The following is a 17,709-nucleotide window of genomic DNA, read 5'->3' on the forward strand; positions in this document are numbered from 1 at the left end:
GGGAGGCGGAGGTTGCAGTAAGCCAAAATTGCGCCACTGCACTCCAGCCTGAGTGACAGAGCGAGACTCTGTCTCAAAAAACAAAACAAAATAAAAACCAAATAAACAAAAAAACCTAAGGGCTGGACCCATTCTAGAGGCTGTAACCCACTCCCTGCCTCTGGCAAGTGAGCTGTTGGCATTATCCCCTGCAGGTGTTTCCTGGGGTGGCTGCAACACAATACCACCAACTGGGTGGCTTATACAACGGAAATGCTTGTCTCAGAATTCTGCAGGCTGAACATCTGAGATCAAGGCATCGGCAGCGCTGGTTCTCTCCAGGGGCTGTAGGAAGAATGTGTTCCAGGCCTCCCCACTGGCTCCGGTGGTTTGCTGGGAATCTCTGGCTTTCCTTAGTTTGTAGGTACAGCACCTTTACCTCTGCCTTCATCTTCACGTGGCCTTCTCCCGGTGTGCGTGTCTGTCCAAATTCCCCCTTTTTATAAGGACACCAGTCATACTGAGTTCAGGCTAACATCTACAATGATGATCCCACTGCATTTTTTTTGTTTGTTTTTTTGAGACAGAGTCTTACTCTATCACCCAGGCTGGAGTACAGTGGCATGATCTCGGCTCACTATGCAACTTCCGCCTCCCAGGTTCAAGCAATTCTCCTGCCTCCATCTCCCGAGTAGCTGGGATTACAGGTGCCCGCCACCAAACCCAGCTAATTTTTGTACTTTTAGTAGAGACGGGGTTTCACCATGTTGGCCAGGCTGGACTCAAACACCTGACCTCAAGTGATCCACCCGCCCCGGCCTCCCAAAGTGTTGGGATTACAGGCATGAGCCACCGCACCTGGCCAGATGATCCTATTTCTAAACAAGGTCACATTCTGAAGTATTTAGAGTTAAGACTTCCATGTGTGAACTTGGGGGTAACAGGGAGACACAATTCAACCCATAGCATCCTTTTCCATTGCTCCTTGCTCAATTCCTTGCAGGAATTTGCTTCCTTTGTCAGGATCCCAGCATGGCCCACTCAAACAGGGTTATTTGAAGTGAGTCTAACAAAGGGGCTGGTTACAAAAGTGTGTACTGGATTTAGGAAGTCAACAGGGATAGTGCGGTACCCCAGGGCTCAGGCCAGTGGGAGGGGTGGTCTCACGGCCCCAGCCTGAAAAGATAAGGGGAGCAGGCAGTTAGTTACATGAGGCAGAGAGGCAGCAGGACTGGAGCTGTGTGCAGGCTTCCAGACCACAGTGCGACCCACGGGAGGTTGCTCGCAGTAGGTATGCACGCTTTCCGTATGTGTATTGTGAAAGGAAAATAAATCTCACCCAAATCACTAAGCCAAAGGGAAAAGTCAAGCTGGGAACTGTACAGGGCGAACCTGCCTCCCATTCTATTCCTAAATAAGATAGCTACAAAGATTGGCTGGGCTTGGTCTCTCATGCCTGTAATCCCAGCACTTTGGGAGGCCGAGGCAGGCAGATCACCTGAGGGCAGGAGTTGGAGATCAGCCTGGCCAGCATGGAGAAACCCCGTCTCTACTAAAACTACAAAAATTAGCCGGGCTGGGTAGCATGTGCGCGCCTATAATCCCAGCTACTTGGGAGGCTGAGGCAGGAGAATCACTTGAACCCGGGAGGCAGAGATTGCAGTGAGCCGAGATCATGCCACTGCACTCCAGCCCGGGCGACAGAGTGAGACTCTGTCTCAAAAAAAAAAAAAAAGCTGCAAGATTTAAAAAAGAAAAGAAAAAAGCTACATACCTCCCTCACAATTTGCCCACAAGGAAATTCTCTGTGGACAAAGCGCAGGAAGAACTCAAAGTCATCTCTCTGCTCATATGAGATGAATGCCCATCTGAATGCTTCCTTTGCCCTACTGTTTCACTAAGCCACACTGTGGCATAAGTGACTATTCCTGTAAATGGTGCATTCAGCAACAGGCTAATCAGAAACTTAAAAGAATGAAACTGTCTCTTATTTACCTATGACCTGGAGGCCCCCTCCCCACTTCAAGTTGTCCCACCTTTCCGGACCGAACCAAGGTACATCTAACATATATTGACTGATGTCTCATGTCTTCCTAAAATGTATAAAACCAAGCTGTGCCCCGACCACCTTAGGCCCATGTCTTCAGGACCTCCTGAGGCTATGTCATACACGCATTCTGAACCTTGCTAAAATAAACTTTCTAAACTGATTGAGACCTGTCTCAGATACCTTTTGGTTTACAGTGTTATACTAAAATAAAAGGTTATAAAGTGAACGCCAGAAAGCATACGAAAGAGAAATTTTAAATGATACGACGTTCTGGAAAAGGCAAAGCTAGAGGCAGCGAAAAGATCAGTGGTCATGAGGGGTTGAGGAGGGAGGGGAGAGGAATGAATGAGCGGGGCACAAAGATTTTGAGGGTCAGTAAAACTATTCTGCGTGATTCTATGATCGTGAAGGATTACATGACGTAATCCCTTTGTCAAAACCCATGGAACATGCAACACAGAATGAACCCTCATGTAAACTTGCTGTGGGCTTTAGTGAATAATCACAGTGACACTGGTTCATCATATTGGTTTATGCAATATATGGTACTGATGTGGCATACTAATATAGATATATATACGCATATATATTAGTATATACTAAATAGTATGTGGCATGCTAATATATATGAATATATACAGCATATAAATACACTATATATACTATATATAGTACATATGTATTTATGGCACAGATGTGACATACTAATGCAAGATGTTAAAAGAGGGGAAACTGTGCAGGGTAAGGGGTAAAGGGAAATCTTTACTGTCTGCTTAATTTTCCATAAACCTCAAATTGCTCTTAACAAAGTCTATTAATTATTTTATTTATTTATTTATTTTGAGACGGAATCTCACTCTGTTGCCCAGGCTGGGGTGCAGTAGAGTGATCTCAGCTCACTCCAACTTCCAACTCCTGGGTTCAAGCAATTCTCCTGCCTCAGCCTCCCTAGCAGCTGGGATTACAGGTGCACGCCACCATGCCCGACTAATTTTTGTGGAGTTTTTTGTTTTTTGTTTGTTTGTTTGAGATAGAGTCTCACTCTGTTGCCCAGGCTGGAGTGCAGTGGCACGATCTTGGCTCACTGCAACTTCCAACTCCCAGGTTCAAGCAATTCTCCTGCCTCAGCCTCCCTAGCAGCTGGGATTACAGGTGCGCGCCACCATGCCCGGCTCATTTTTGTTTTTGTTTGTTTGTTTGTTTGTTTTTTGAGATAGAGTCTCGCTGTGTTGCCCAGGCTGGAGTGCAGTGGCACGATCTGCACCATTCCTGGGTTCACACCATTCTCCTGCCTCAGCCTCCCGAGTAGCTGGGACTACAGGCACCTGCCGCCACACCTGGCTAATTTTTTTTTTTGGTGGGGGATGGAGTCTTGCTCTGTCACCCAGGCTGGAATGCAGTGGCATGATCTTGGCTCACTGCAAGCCCCACCTCCTGGGTTCATGCCATTCTGCTGCCTCAGCCTCCCCAGCAGTGGGGACTACAGGGGCACGCTGCCACGCCCAGCCAATTTTTTTTTTTTTTTTTTGTATTTTTAGTAGAGACGGGGTTTCACCATGTTAGCCAGGCTGGTCTCAATCTCCTGACCTCAGGTAATCTGCCCGCCTCGGCCTCCCAAAGGGCTGGGATTACAAGTGTGAGCCACCGCACCCGGCCAAAGTCTATTGATTATTTAATAAAATAAAATAAAATAAAGCCACCTTCTCACCCAGACAAAATCACTATTGACACTAGGCTGTCTATCCTTCTGGTCACTTTTCCAGGGAACTTGCTTCTTTCCCCTGACCTCGGGGCTCCCATACCTGCCCCCACTTGCTTCCCCAGCCTTGCTGCTCCCAGGCACTGGCTGGGAGGGTTCCTCACCCGCTCACCACCTCCTCCCTCTGACTCCTGCACACACAAATGAACTCTGGAGCCGGGGTTTCCCATCAGCAAGCAGTTCTTGTGGCCTGGACCGTCACCCTCTCTCCTTGTCTGGCTGCCCTGTTGCTATTCTGTGGCTTGCCATGTGACTTGGAAGGGGAGATGAGGAATGGTCTATAAACCACTGTCATTTTACTGGGCTAACACAAGCCCTCCTCATTTGCAAACATTCCTCCATTCTCTTCTAAAGATCTTTCACATCTGTGTTTCCTCGATCCTCTCGACAAACCTCAGGATGACGGGCAAGGGAACAAAACCCCAGGGAAGTTAGGTGACCTGTCAAGTGAAGGAGGTCCTGACCTTCGGCTCTAAGCTCCTTGCCCCACTCCAGGTGACCACCTTCAACTTTCACTTCTGATGTAGATGATCATTTCTGATGTAGATGATCTAAAAGCACACATCATCTCATTGGGGTCTTACGAAAAAGCAATGCTATTCTTTCCAATAACTCAAGGAGGGAAGTATTCTTTTCAAATGAAGACAGGAACATACTCTTGCACCTCCTGATTTGAAAGGGAGCTCCTGGGGTGGTGGGACATTTGCCACAGGGACCCACCCAGGGGACCTTTGCTGGGAGCCTCAGACTCTTTCATCTGCCCTGGAGGAGGCTGACACAAGAGGTCCCAGCATCAGCTTACATCAGAATGAAAAGGGGCCCTCTTGGTCACCTAGAGCAGGGATCTACCACTGGTGGCCAGTGGGAGGAACATGTTTTGGAGTTCAGCCAGCACTCTAAATTGTTTATTTATTTATTTTGTTTTTATTTATTTATTTATTTTGAGACAGTCTCACTCTGTCACCCAGGCTGGAGTGCAGTGTGGCACGATCTCGGCTCACTGCAAGCTCCGCCTCCTGGGTTCATGCCATTCTCCTGCCTCAGCCTCCCGAGTAGCTGGGACTACAGGCATGCTCCACCATGCCTGGCTAATTTTTGGATTTTTAGTAGAGACGGGGTTTCACCATGTTAGCCAGGCTGGTCTCGATCTGCTGACCTCAGGTGATCTGCCCGCCTCAGCCTCCCAAAGTGCTGGGATTACAGGCGTGAGCCACCACGCCCAGCCCATTCTAAATTGTTTATATACCTATATTCTCTGCTGACTCCAACTGGCTGCTTCTGCTAACCTCACCCAGCTGACCCTGGGGGCATCTGGGGTCTCATTCCTGCACTCCTTACCTGGGAAAATCCACTCTCTGAGAGATGAGAAGGCTGAAGCCGAGAAAAGCACGTGACTCGGAGGACCCACTGGGAGCTAATGTTGGAGCCCGGATTGGGACCACGATCCTTGGCTGTTCGGTTTCTGTTGGCCTTTGAGAAGCTGCCCCTTCATCTTCAATGGCCCATAGCTCCCTCAAGGTCCTGACTCCCTGACCTTGACATTTACCACGTATCCAGCTGGGAGGATGGAGAAGATGGGACACCAGAGGACTCTTAATTGGCAGCCTCCGACGTGCAAGAGCCGGCCAAGAGCCGCTGGGAGGATGCGCTGTCTCAGATACTGCTGTCTGCGTGGGTTGTCACACGTTTGGGATTTGACAGGCAATTCCTTAGTTCATTGGGTTTCATATATCTGTATACGTATCTGGTCTGTTTGGCCACATTTCTGTGCTTTAAACGAAGACAAAATAATAACAGCTTCTATACGTGGTGATGGAGGAAATTGCTCAAAAGCTTCTTTATATGACTATCACTTGAGGTCAAAGGAGAGATGCTATCACCTACATTTGACCGGGGACACTGAGGACCAGGAACATCAGGGGACTTATCTGCCATCGGACAGCTCATTGGAAGCACAGACAGTCATGGATGCCGGGGGTGGCCTGCCCAGCCCTGCCCCAGACCCATGGTAACCACGGTACATATTTTCTGCCACACAGATAGGAAAACAGAAAGCCCATCAATACACAGAGAGAAAAATAAGAAATCAGCATGAGGCTGGGCACAGTGGCTCACGCCTGTAATCCCGGCACTTTGGGAGGCTAAGGTGGGTGGTTTACTTGAGGCCAGGAGTTCGAGACCAGCCTGGCCAATGTGGCAAAACCCCGTCTCTACTAAAAATACAAAAAATAGCTGGGTGTGGTAGTGTACACACCTGTAATCCCAGCTACTCAGGAGGCTGAGACATGAGAATAGCTTGAACCCGAGAGGCAGAGGTTACAGTGAGCCGAGATTGCGCCACTGCACTCCAGCCTCGGTGACAGAGTGAGACTGTGTTGAAGGGGGGAGGGGAGGGGAAGGGAGGGGAGGGGAGGGGAGGGGAAGGGAGGGAAGGGGAGAGGGAAAGAAAGAAGAGACAGAGAGAAAGAAAGAGAAAAGAAGAAAAGAGAAAGAAGAAAGAAAGAAAAGAAAAGAAAAAAGAAAAAGAGAAAGAAAAGAGAAACAAAGAAAGAAAAAACAAACAGTATGAGAAGCGGAGACAAGCATATGAGCGAGGAAAAGGGGTGCTGTTTCCTGTGCCCCAGTTCTGCTCCCACGACTTCCTGGGGCTTGACTGTTCAGGACCAAGTGTTCCTGGACACACCTGCATCCTTAAGAGTAACCCTCCTATTTGCTTACTCCAGATGACATTGGTTTGTTTCTGTGAATTGATAAGCAAAGCTGTCCGATTCAGCTGGAGTTAAACTGAGACCTGTGGCCTCGGCATCCTGAACTCTGTCCATCAGCCACTCCCGCTGTGCTTAGCAGAGGAGGGAAGAACATTCCAGCAGCCTCTCCAGGGCTCCTCTCCTCTTCCAGCACCACTCCCGCAGCTGGGGGCAGAGTAGCCGCTCCCTCCCTCCTGCATAGCAGGAGCTGCGGCTCAGGGGGCTACCGGGGATTTGACCAAGATCACAACAACCCAACCTAGGAAAGAAACCCTGAGAACATGCATTCTGGGCCCTGCCTTGGCTGAAGGCAATCCGGATATGCTTTGCTGACCCAAAGCCACCGAGGGGTATTTGCTGAAAACAAAAACAAAGGCCAGTGATTTGGGCCCGTCCCTGGATGACCCCTAGGAGTGTGCATTCCTTGGCTCACTCACTCCCACAGCCTCACTGAGACCCTCCTAGTCTCCTACGCAGGGTGCGGCTGACAGCAGCAGGCGTGCTGGCCTCTTGGAGCCTGCATTTCTAGTGGGACAAAATGTATGAATTTGATAATGTCAACCTCAGTGAATGTTACGACGTAACTACAACAAGAAGATGTGACCAAGAGTGATGGGGTAGGGGTGGGATGGTCAGGGAAGGCCTCTCGGAGGAGGTGATGCTTGATGGAAGACCTGGTGATGAGGAAGATCGGGGTCGGGGGAGGTGTCCTTCCAGGCAGACAGCAGCAAGTTCAGGGGCTCCGGCTGGATACTGGCACTTGGGCGTGTTCCGGGGACAGAACAAGGCTGGTGTGGCCTGGGTGGGGAAGGGGCAGGGAGGGAGGAGAAGTGATAAGGAGGGGCCCGTCTGGGCTGTGGGAGGGAGCTCGGTTGATTCTAAATGCAATGGGAGCCACTGGAAGGTTTCCAAATATGCCCTGTGTTGTACGAGCCTCTGGGGATTCAAGGAAGAACAAGACACATGTTGCCTCCTCAAAAAGGGTCAGACGTGACCTGTAACGTCAGGCAGTGGTCACAGGATAAGCACAGCATCCCACGAGATCGCACAGGATGGGCTCCCAACCCAGCCTCAGGAGCCCAGGGAAGAGGTGGAGCATGGAAGGTTAAGTGGGAACCAGAAGGGTAAAGAAGTCAAGGCAGGGAATGGGGAGGAAGAAAGAACCCCAGGACAGGTAACAGCACAGGCATGGACCTGCGGCATCACAGCCCATGATGTTTCCCGGGACCGAAAGGGATGCACTCGGCTGGGATCTTACTGTGGCCGTGCTCAGGATATGAGTTGACTCAGAACCACCAATGCTCCTGACCCAGGGACTCACCACAACTCCCAGCACATGGAGGTCCTGATGCATTTCTTTTTCTATTTTCTTTTTTCTTTTTTTTGAGACAGAGTCTCGCTCAGTCGCCCAGGCTGGAGTGCAGTGGCATGATCTCGGCTCACTGCAACCTCCACCTCCCAGGTTCAAGCGATTCTCCTGCCTCAGCCTCCCAAGTAGCTGGGATTACAGGTGCACGCCACCGTGCCCAGCTAGTTTTTAGTATTTTTAGTAGAGATGGGGTTTCACCATCTTGGCCAGGCTGGTCCTGAACTCCTGACTTCAGGTGATTCGCCCGCCTTGGCCTCCCAAAGTGCTGGGATTACAGGCCTGAGCCACCACGCCTGGCCCTGATGCATTTTTACAGCCCGCACCAGCCCGAAGGCTGATAAGGCCGGCCAAGCACCTCATCCCTGCAAACCATGTTCCAGACCACAAGATGCTAGGACAGCAGGAACTGTGCAGCCACTTGGCTTAAAGGGCTTAACCCTTTGGGTAACTGAGCCGGCTGGAACTTGCCTGATGTACCTACTGGCGATACTGTCCTCTCCAAACCAAATCCCCTCCTGGGTTCCCCTGGGGCTATCTGTCCACTGTCTTATGTTGTTCAGCAAAAAGCGTTCCCTTTGAGTTCACTGGTAGAGTAACTGGATGAGTTGAACATTTTTAGAAAGATCTGGTTTTTGGGGCCAGAGTAGGATGACCCTGTGGGGGCTCTCCAGGCAGCAACCAAGGCAGACCCCTCGGTGAGGTTACCTTAGGTCAAGCTTGCAGTTGGCTTGGCACCAGAAGGCCAGACCACAGTGCCCACAAGAGCTGGCACCTGGTTCCTGGACACTGGTAATGGTGAGAAAGGTGACACCCCAGTGACTCAACTCTAAGGGACAAGTTAAAGGTGCAGTGGACTGTGGCACACAGGACATGCACCGACTCATCAACAGCAGGACAGAGGTCACTTGCATGAAAACCGAGACTTCAGTAAGCCTCTGCCCAGGAACACAGCTCTCTCAGGTATAAACACACACAAAATGTTCACTCGACCAGTGAGCAAATAATGCAAATTAAAGCAATAAGGAGATGTTGTTGTCTTGCCCATCAAATTGAAAAACATTTTTAAAAAATGAGAATAAAAAACACTGGGGGCCAGGCGCAGTGGCTCACGCCTGTAATCCCAGCACTTTGCCAGGCCGAGGTGAGTGGATCACCTGAGGTCAGGAGTTTGAGACAAGCCTGGCCAACATGGTGAAACCCCATCTCTACTAAAAATACAAAAATTAGCTGGGTGTGGTGGCAGGCGCCTATAATCCCAGCTACTTGGGAGGCTGAGGCAGGAGAATCACTTGAACCTGGGAGGTGGAGGTTGCAGTGAGTCGAGATCACACCACTGCACTCCAGCCTGGGTGACAGACCAAAACTCCATCTCAAAACAAACAAACAAACAAAAACAATGGGAAAGGTGTGGCTACACCTGTACTCTCTGCTAATGGTGCCAGGCAGCTGGCACCATTAATGCATTCAGGGGTTTAAAAAAAAAGCATAGACTTGTCTGGGCTCAGTGGCTCACGCCTGTAATACCAGCACACTTTGGGAGGCCAAGGCAGGTAGATCACCTGAAGTCAGGAGTTCGAGATCAGCTTTGCCAATATGGTAAAACCCCGTCTCTACTAAAAATGCAAAAATTAGCCTGGCATGGTGGCAGGTGCCTGTAATCCCAGCTACTGGGGAGGCTGAGGCAGTAGAAGAGCTTGAACCTGGGAGGCGGAGGTTGCAGTGAGCTGAGATCATGCCACTGCACTCCAGCCTGGGTGGCAGAGCAAGACCCCATCTCAAAACAACAAAAAAAAGCATAGACTTTCACCCTGTGTTTCCACCCCAAATAAAATAACCAGAGGTTTCCACAGACTTTCCATGTGTAAGGATATTCGGCTCAGCACTGCCTACATACAAAAAATAAAAGGAAACAACCCACACTTCTAACAACAGGGGATGGGTCCAATTAATAAATCAATAAAATGACCTATTCTCAAGGCCATTTCAAGTTAAATCCTCCGACAACTGTAATGACAGGAAATGCTCCCAATTCAGTAACAGAAAAAAATCATTTTGCGAATGTACAGTATAATATCAATCTGTTTACATATATGTAAGAATAAAACTAGAATAAAATATAGCAAAACTTTCATAGCAATGGGATTCTGGGTACCTTTTATTTTCTTCATGATACTTTCGGCATTTCCCCAGTCTAATAACAGGAGCCTGTATTTTTATCATCAGGAACATAAAGCTGCTTTTATTTTCTCAAAGAAGAAAAAGAAATAGAGTCACCTGGGAGAAAGGACCAGTGTGACCTTCAGGCAAGCGCCGGGTTTGTCCCTTAGGCTGAAATACCATTTATGTTGTCAGTATAACAAGAACTCCTCATTCCTCTGACCAAACCAGGCCCTCACAGTGTCTGACATCAGAAAACGGAAGTGGAGCTTCGGGGAAATGGGGAGAGGCTCCCCCAGCAAGCCCCAGGTCAGATCTGGTAATCTGATGGGGTTAAACGACATGACCTGCCTGCCATGATGCCCTTCCTAGACAGGATGTTATCTTCAGGGTCTGCCCCATGGGGTACCCAAGCCCCCGAATGCTCAGATGCTCCAGACGCTCTTTAGTGGATCTTTTCTGGGAAGCTGTCTCCACCCAGGAGACAGGGTTCACAGACCCAAGGCATGACATGTGGTTCTGTTTAATTCCGCCCCAGTCCATCCTTCCTCCCAGCCTTGCCCTCCCTACACCTCCATGCGTCAAGGTTGTAGAGCGAGAGAATCAGCTCGAATCTCTTTCCTAGTGCTGTAAGCTGTGACCTTCAGGCCACACGTGGCTGCAGCTAGAAAGGGAGGTGCAAGAGGGTGCCTGGGTGAATGCAGCCTCCCACCTTGACAGCTGCAAGTGCCCCTCCTGTGATACACTCCCAGGCATGTTCTGGGCTGTGTCAGATGCTCTGTGCCCCTCCAAAGCCAAGCCCAGAGTCCAGTGACCCCTACCAAGCCTCATGCCCACTGGCCTCGGTTTCTCAAACCCAGCGGCATATTCTCCCTATGGCCCAGGACCAGGGCTAGGGACAGCAAGTGTAAAGTCCTTCCACACTGTGACAGCATCTCAGGCCCATGAGCCCAGAGCCCCAGTGTACCCAAGAGCTCTGCCCTCCCTAATGCCCAGAGACTACAGCCCCCTGAATTCCAGCAGAGGGGTCTTTGGAGGTCACGTGCCTCCCCAGGCCTTGACTTCCCAACTTTTAAAACCAAGTCAATGTCCCCTTCCCTAAAACTGTAGAACTTTAGACTTAGAAGGAGACTTACGGTCCTCCTACCTACACTCTTTGTTTATAAGAGAAAAATTGAAGGCACAGAGGACAGGCAACTTATACACAGTCCCACCATGAGTGAGTTACTGCACCACAGAGCCAGCGAAAAGCCCCATGCACAGGAATCCCCTGGAGGTGTGGAGCTTGCTAAAATGCAGATCCCCAGGCCTCAGCCCCCTACCCCCAGGCCCTCATTCAGTCGTAGATCTGGGGTCCTGTGAATCTGCACTTCACACAAGCTCCCCTGGCGATTCTCATGCAGGTGGTTCTCAGGTGACGCTTTGAGAAACACCACGGTGCTCCCCACTTTTGTGTCTTTATCTCCTCCCCACTTCGCTGGGCTCTGTCTTGCTTCTCTGGGGGACAAGGGGGCAGGGAGGCAAGGGAAAGCAAGGGTAGGATCCTCTTTGCTCCTTCCTTCAATTTCCTCCCCCGGAAGAGGCAGAAGGCCTGCCTAGAAAGCCCTGGACCTTGTACCCTCATGGAGCCTGGTTTTCTCCGGCAGGAAGTAGGTGGTCCTCACGGAGGAGGTACTGGGAGCTAGGAGATCCTGGTGCACCCCCAGCTCTGGGTTTAACTCTCTGTGTGATCTAAGGCAAGTTACATCGCTTCTCTAGTCAAAACAGGATAATAACAACAGCGCCAATTAAAACACTTACATAGTATATACTGTGAGCCAGGCACTGTTCTCGGTCCTTTATAAATAATGCCCTTTTAATCCTCCTAACAAGCCTAGAAGGTGGATACTGTATCAGCCCCATTTTACAGATGAGGAAACGGGTACAAAAAGATCACACAATCAGTAAGAAGTAGAGGCAGGATTTGAAGGCAAGCAGCTTGGTGCCAGTCTGGGCTCTGAGCTGTCTCTGTGAAAAGTAGAAAAAGCACAAATGCAGGAGGAGGAGGGAGGGGGCGGGGAACACCTGTTGAGCACCTACCACACGCCAAGCAAGACGGTGTTCTTTACAGAGATAATCTCATTTAAATCTCACAGCAAGCACGGCAGAGGACACCATTACCACATTCTGAATCCAGATGCAAAGAAACTGAGGCTTGGAGAGGTCAGGGACTTGCCTAAGATTATAAACCTGAGTCCAAACCTGAATGCGGGTCTCACTTCAAGGTAACTGCTGGAACCTCCACCACCCACCCTGCATGTGGCTTACAGTTTAGGAGATACTCTCGGGCCACACAGCATGGACAGTGGCAGTGAGACCAGAGCTGCTCATGGCACTGCACCCTGTGAGGTGCCCTGGAGCTGTGTCCGTCCTCTCCCTACTGGCTGAGACAAAGCCATACCCCCAAACCCTGTTCCCAGGGCTCTGGACATGGCTCCTTGCTCTGAACCTGTCCATCCTTCCTCCCGTCTTTCCTATCTGAGTCCAGTTTCTTCCCCACATCACAGACAGCAGGAGGAGGAACATTTCACTTCCATTGCTCGTTACTTTCACTCACATCACCTTGTTTGGATCTCGACAACCACTGGGTGGGATGGACTATGCAGCATTACCCATGTCTTGATTTCACTCAAGGGAAAGGTGAAGCTTAAAAAACTGGAGTGACCCACCCAGAGTCCCCCAGATTTTAGGCCAGGACTTAAATCCATGTCTTCAGATTCCAAATCCAGGGCTCTTTGGAGATCTCAGAGGTCAACGCAAGAATTCTAGAGATGAGGAAACTGAGGCCCAAATGGGACAAGTGGCCTGTTCAAGGTCACAGTCACCATGGCAGAACTGAGACAAACCCACAGCTCCTGACTTCATAAAACCTTGCCTTCACCTGGAAGACAACTGGAGCCAATAAACCAACCCAACCAACAACAGGGGTGAATGGTGCCAACCCCACTGAAAAGGAAAGGCAGAAGCAAGCAGAACCGAGGTGTACCCCATCCCACCATGAGCTTTTCATCCGGTCACTCCTGTCTCCAGGACCGAGTCTACTGGTGGGCAGGGTCTGGGAAACCAGACAAGTGGATGAGGACAAAGTTTAAAGGTGGGGACTCTGCACCCTGCAGGCCAGATCGTTTTAGGAATTTCAGCCAGCCTGGGCTGAAAGTGATGGCTCAGGGGCCTGCATTTGCTGAAGAGTGAGCACCCCGAAGCATGGGGTGTGTTTGATGACAGTTGGGAATGAAGATATGAATGCAGGAGTTCAGCACACAGATGAACAGCATCCTTGATTTCTCCGTAAATGGAAAAAAAAATATTCTGAAGCTAAATCTGCATGTATGTCACCTTTGATGATGTGCGCCTTGCAGCTGTGGTCCCAATTCTGCTGAAATCTTGGGAGCAAGGCAGGAGGCAGAGTTCAGCTCTGAGAGGTCACTGCGGGCACTGGTGCTCACAGGGTCACAAGTGGGAGGCTGGAATCCACTTGGGGGAAGGACACCCACCTGCCACCTGCCTCCTCACTCTGGGTGCTCATCCCTGTGGATGCTGGGGTCCCCTCCTTCTCAGCTCCACCCGTGCTCCCTTCCTGCGGGCCTTAATGGAGCCCCTTAACTCCCTCCGCCCTGGTGTTCCCATCTGCCAAGTGAGTTTTTATGCCCACGCCGCCATTGGAAGCGTGCACCAGGAAAGCAAAGGGGGCACCAGCCCTCTACATTTTGGTTCAGCTTTTTCACATCTGGCTGAAAAGCCACAGAGAACTACAAATCATTACTGCATCATTGGCTCTTAATGGGCTGCCATTATTCCACATCAGAAATCTTCCTCACCCATATTAGACAGAAGAGCAAACTGGAGCTGAGAAGCTGAGAGGCCAGGTTAGGCTCGGGAAGCTGCTGGAGAGCCCTTGGAACTGGCTGACTCCCCGTGCACGGTACTGAGAATACGGCCGTTTCCCATAGAGTAGGCTGCATTCCGCTTACCAGGGACGCATAAGTAATCCACACCCGCCAGTCCTAGGACCCAAAGCCCAGGGAGATGATCCTGGGCATCCCGAGAAGGGGAAGGTCCCTAACTTGGTAAAGTGAGTTACTGGAGAAACAGGGGAAGAAGTACAGCCTCAGGGTTCAGAAACTCCAAAGAATTCCAGATGCGTCCCTCTCCACCCACTTCCCCAGCAGAGACCCAGGAAAAGTTCAGGATCCCCCAAGCCTCCTCTTCCAAACTCAACCCACGGCTCCTCCCACCCAGACTGGGGTCTGGGGTGGCCTCTCCCTGCCCCCCTCCCTCCCTCCCCCAGCCTAGCCGGCTCGGCTCACCTTTGGGCAGTTTGGATGCGTTCTCCTGGATCCAGGAGAAGAGGTGGGCGAAGTCACAGTCGCACAGCCAGGGGTTCCCGTCCAGACGCAGGGAGCGCAGCGCGGGCAGCGCGGCCAGGGCGGCCACGCTGAGGCTGCGCAGGTTGTTGTCGTTGAGCTCCAGCACCTGCAGCGACTCCAGGGTCTCGAAGGCGTCCTCGTGCACGCCCACCAGGTTGTTGTTAGCCAGGCTAAGCTTCACCAGCCTCCCGGCCGAGCGGAAGGCGCCGGCGCCCAGCTGGGTCAAGTTGTTGTAGCTGAGGTCGAGGAACACGAGCTTGGCCGAGCCGCTGAACGTGCCCTCCTCCAGCGAGCGCAGCGAGTTGTTCCTGAAGTCCAGGTAGACCAGGTCGCCGTAGAAGATGAAGAAGTCCTCGGGGATCCGCTGGATGCGGTTGCCGGCCACCAGCAGCTTGCGCACGTCCAGGGGGAAAGGGTCTGGCACGCTGGGCAGCCCGCGGTCGCGGCAGTCCACGGTGTGCGGGTCGGTGCAGGCGCAGCCCGCGGGGCACGCGTGCCCGGGCGCGAGCAGCAGCAGAAGGCTGCAGAGCCCGAGCGCCGCGGCGGCGCAGGCTGGGGCTCGGGGGCGCATGGCCGGGGGGCCCGCGCCGGCCGCGGCGAGAAGGAAGCGGCTCTCGGAGCGAGCCCTGGCGCGGGACGGCGCGGTGAGGCACTGGCTGCCGGGCGCGGGGAGCCAGAGGGCGGCCCGGGCGGGGAGGGCGTGCGCCCGGGCGTGCGGGGGCGATGGAGCGCGGCGCGGACGGACTGGGGAGCCGGGACAGCAGGGATGGAGAGGGGAGGGGCGGGGAGGGAGGGGCGAGGGACTCACCAAAGGGTTTACCCGGACAGGAAATTAACCCGCTAGAAAAATCTCTTGGGAGAGGCGGGAGCGGCAGGGGTGGCCGAGTGGCCGTCGCCAAAACGCGGCCCCACCCTGGCAGCTGATTTCCGAGATCTGGCAGTAAGACGCCGCGCGCACCGGGCGGGCTGCACTCGACGTCTAAGTTCAGCTACCAAGCCCAGGAGCGGTTTCCCTAAGGCGTGTCCCGGGCGTGCGCCCTGCCCCCTCGCGCCCGCCTGGTGCCAAAGCACGCTCCCTGCACGCCACCCTATGTCGCCAAAGGGAGTGGGACCTGGGTCACTCTGACTCTGCTCCGGGGGCAATCCCTGCAGGTTCTCGGGTGCCGCGCCAGGGTCTGCTGGTCTGAATTTGGGCGGGGTTCCAAGGGGAGAGAGTGAGTGACTGGTCTTCCCTCTTCCCTCCCCCACCTGCACTTGAACCATCTTAGGCTGGAGGGTGAGCGAGGCAAGTGGCTGCCAGGGCCCCCGCTGTGGCCTGCAGGGCCAGTCAGCACTTTCCATGCCGGCCCCGAACTTCTGGATGGAACTGGCATCCATGCAAGGATCAGCTGCTGGTCTGAGAGGTCCAGCTGCTGAGGCTCTGAGGCCTGGAGTCACCAGGCCTGGCTTCCAAGCTGTGTGGCCTCAGACCAGTACCTCTGCCTCTGTGGACCTGGTAGCTCCATTTGTGAAATGGAAAAAGGTAATATATATCTCATCAGCTTTGGGGGAGGACCAAGAAGTCAAGAACAAAGTTCAAAAATTATCTTTTCCTCTCTCCCCCTCAAAACCCCACCTTGGATAGCCTAGGGAGGCAGTCAGGAACGTGCCAAGGCTGAGATGAAAGGACAGTGAGGAAATGCTGATGTCAGCCTCTGACACTGGCAGGAAAATTCCCTCTTCACCACCCCGATGCCAAACTCCTTTCTTTCTGTCCCACCTCATTCTAGAAACTTCTATATGGGGAGGGGTCCCCACAGAGCTACCAAGAGATTGTCCCGCTGTTGGCTATTTTGGTCCAAATGCCCTAGAATTGACAGACTCCCACTAGACCAAAATAACCCAGGGAACAGCTGTTGGGCAGCAGGCTCCCAGAGACCCTTCCCTGGCCCCTGGCCATGCTGGGGATTGGTGGAGCCTCGGATTCTGAAGCCATAAAGCTAAGCCCTCGGCCTTCTTCCAAAGGTACAGGCCGACTTGATGCCTCTGAGCCATGGGATGAAAAAACTGATCCCCTGGGATGGAGCCAAGGGCTCAACAGATGAGCATATTTGCAGGAGCCCTGGGGAAGAGGCGGGGGAGACCCAGGGGGAAGCTTTGAGGCACCTGGAGTCCTGCAGCTTTTCCCCTACTTACATTCCAGGCCACTAAGCCAGACCTCCCTCAGTTCTCCGTCTCTGTCTCCACTCTCCCAGGGTGCCCAATTTGCCATTGCCATCCCCAACTTCAAGGGCTCAGCTTCCCCACCCCAGTCTCATGCTCTTGAAGAGGCAGGTGTCGGGAGGAGTGGTCTGAATGCTCCCAGAGTGGATGAAAATGCTTCTGCCTACATAAATGATGTATAAATTATTGAAGAGTCACACAAAGTGCAGGCAGGTGGCAGAATAAACACATCTCCCACCCTTGCAACTCTGCAAAAGCAGCCTGAACCGAACTGTTGCACTCTGCCAATCTCAGGCTTGGTTCTGCCTGCTCCCTCCTGTACTGAGGGGAACCTATTACTGGTTTGAGCCCTTAGCATCATGGTTTCATGACACCCGCATTTGGTTGGGCTGCCATCTTGCACGTGCATGCCCGCGTGTCTGTATGTCTGGGTGTGTACACAAGCCCTCCCTGCCAAGTGGTCTGGTTGGCTGGAGCACTGACCTATATGAATCAAGACCCTGGGTCTGGTCCTGGCCCCACCACTAGCCACAGAATCTTTCACAAGCCACTTGATCTCTCTGGGGACTTCTTAGCCTGGGTCCCCAGATACTATGAAGAGGAGGTCTTTTCAAAATTTAAAAAAGTCTGGTGAAAATTAGGCCTTTATCTTTGAGGAGGTCTCCCGGATTAAATACTGCAATTCTTGCCAGTGAACTTAATGGTAGCACTAGTCCTTTTGTGCAGAACCGGCATTCATAGGTGACTTTAAGAAAAACAGAGATGAATTTCTACTGAATAAATGCAAGTATTTAGTTGACAAGGACTTGCAAAACAGGGGAATGCATGGTACTAAAATATTAAGAGGGGCTCTTGGTAACAAACCTATTGAGAAATACCACTCCTAGCCTTGATTTCCTCATCCTGAAACTAATGAAAAAATACCTTTCTTCTTCCTTTCCACAGACAACGTGAGGGCCGCATGGGGAAGTATTTGTATGGGAACATGATTTGAAAGGTCTTTGGAGAAATATTGCCAATAAAAGTGGCCACAAATCTTG

The 17,709-nt window shown here is 51.9% G+C and overlaps 1 protein-coding gene and 1 long non-coding RNA gene across 3 annotated transcripts in view; one reads left to right on the forward strand and one right to left on the reverse strand.

Moving 5' to 3' along the window:
* The window catches only part of LRRC38 (leucine rich repeat containing 38), a 39,031-nt gene extending 23,583 nt beyond the window's left edge, over positions 1–15,448 (reverse strand). For both annotated transcript variants that reach the window (NM_001010847.2, XM_047444690.1), the window contains exon 1: positions 14,408–15,448. In NM_001010847.2, the coding sequence (NP_001010847.1) occupies positions 14,408–15,038 (631 nt within the window). In that variant the 5' untranslated portion in view covers positions 15,039–15,448. The remainder of the gene's footprint in view (positions 1–14,407) is intronic.
* Positions 14,665–17,709, forward strand: LOC107984918 (uncharacterized). The gene is made up of 3 exons (XR_001737896.2): positions 14,665–14,786; positions 15,736–15,989; positions 17,615–17,709. It is a non-coding gene; the product is annotated as an uncharacterized LOC107984918 (long non-coding RNA).

This window comes from Homo sapiens, chromosome 1, assembly GCF_000001405.40.
Source record: "Homo sapiens chromosome 1, GRCh38.p14 Primary Assembly".
In the NCBI taxonomy this organism is placed as follows: Eukaryota; Metazoa; Chordata; class Mammalia; order Primates; family Hominidae; genus Homo; species Homo sapiens.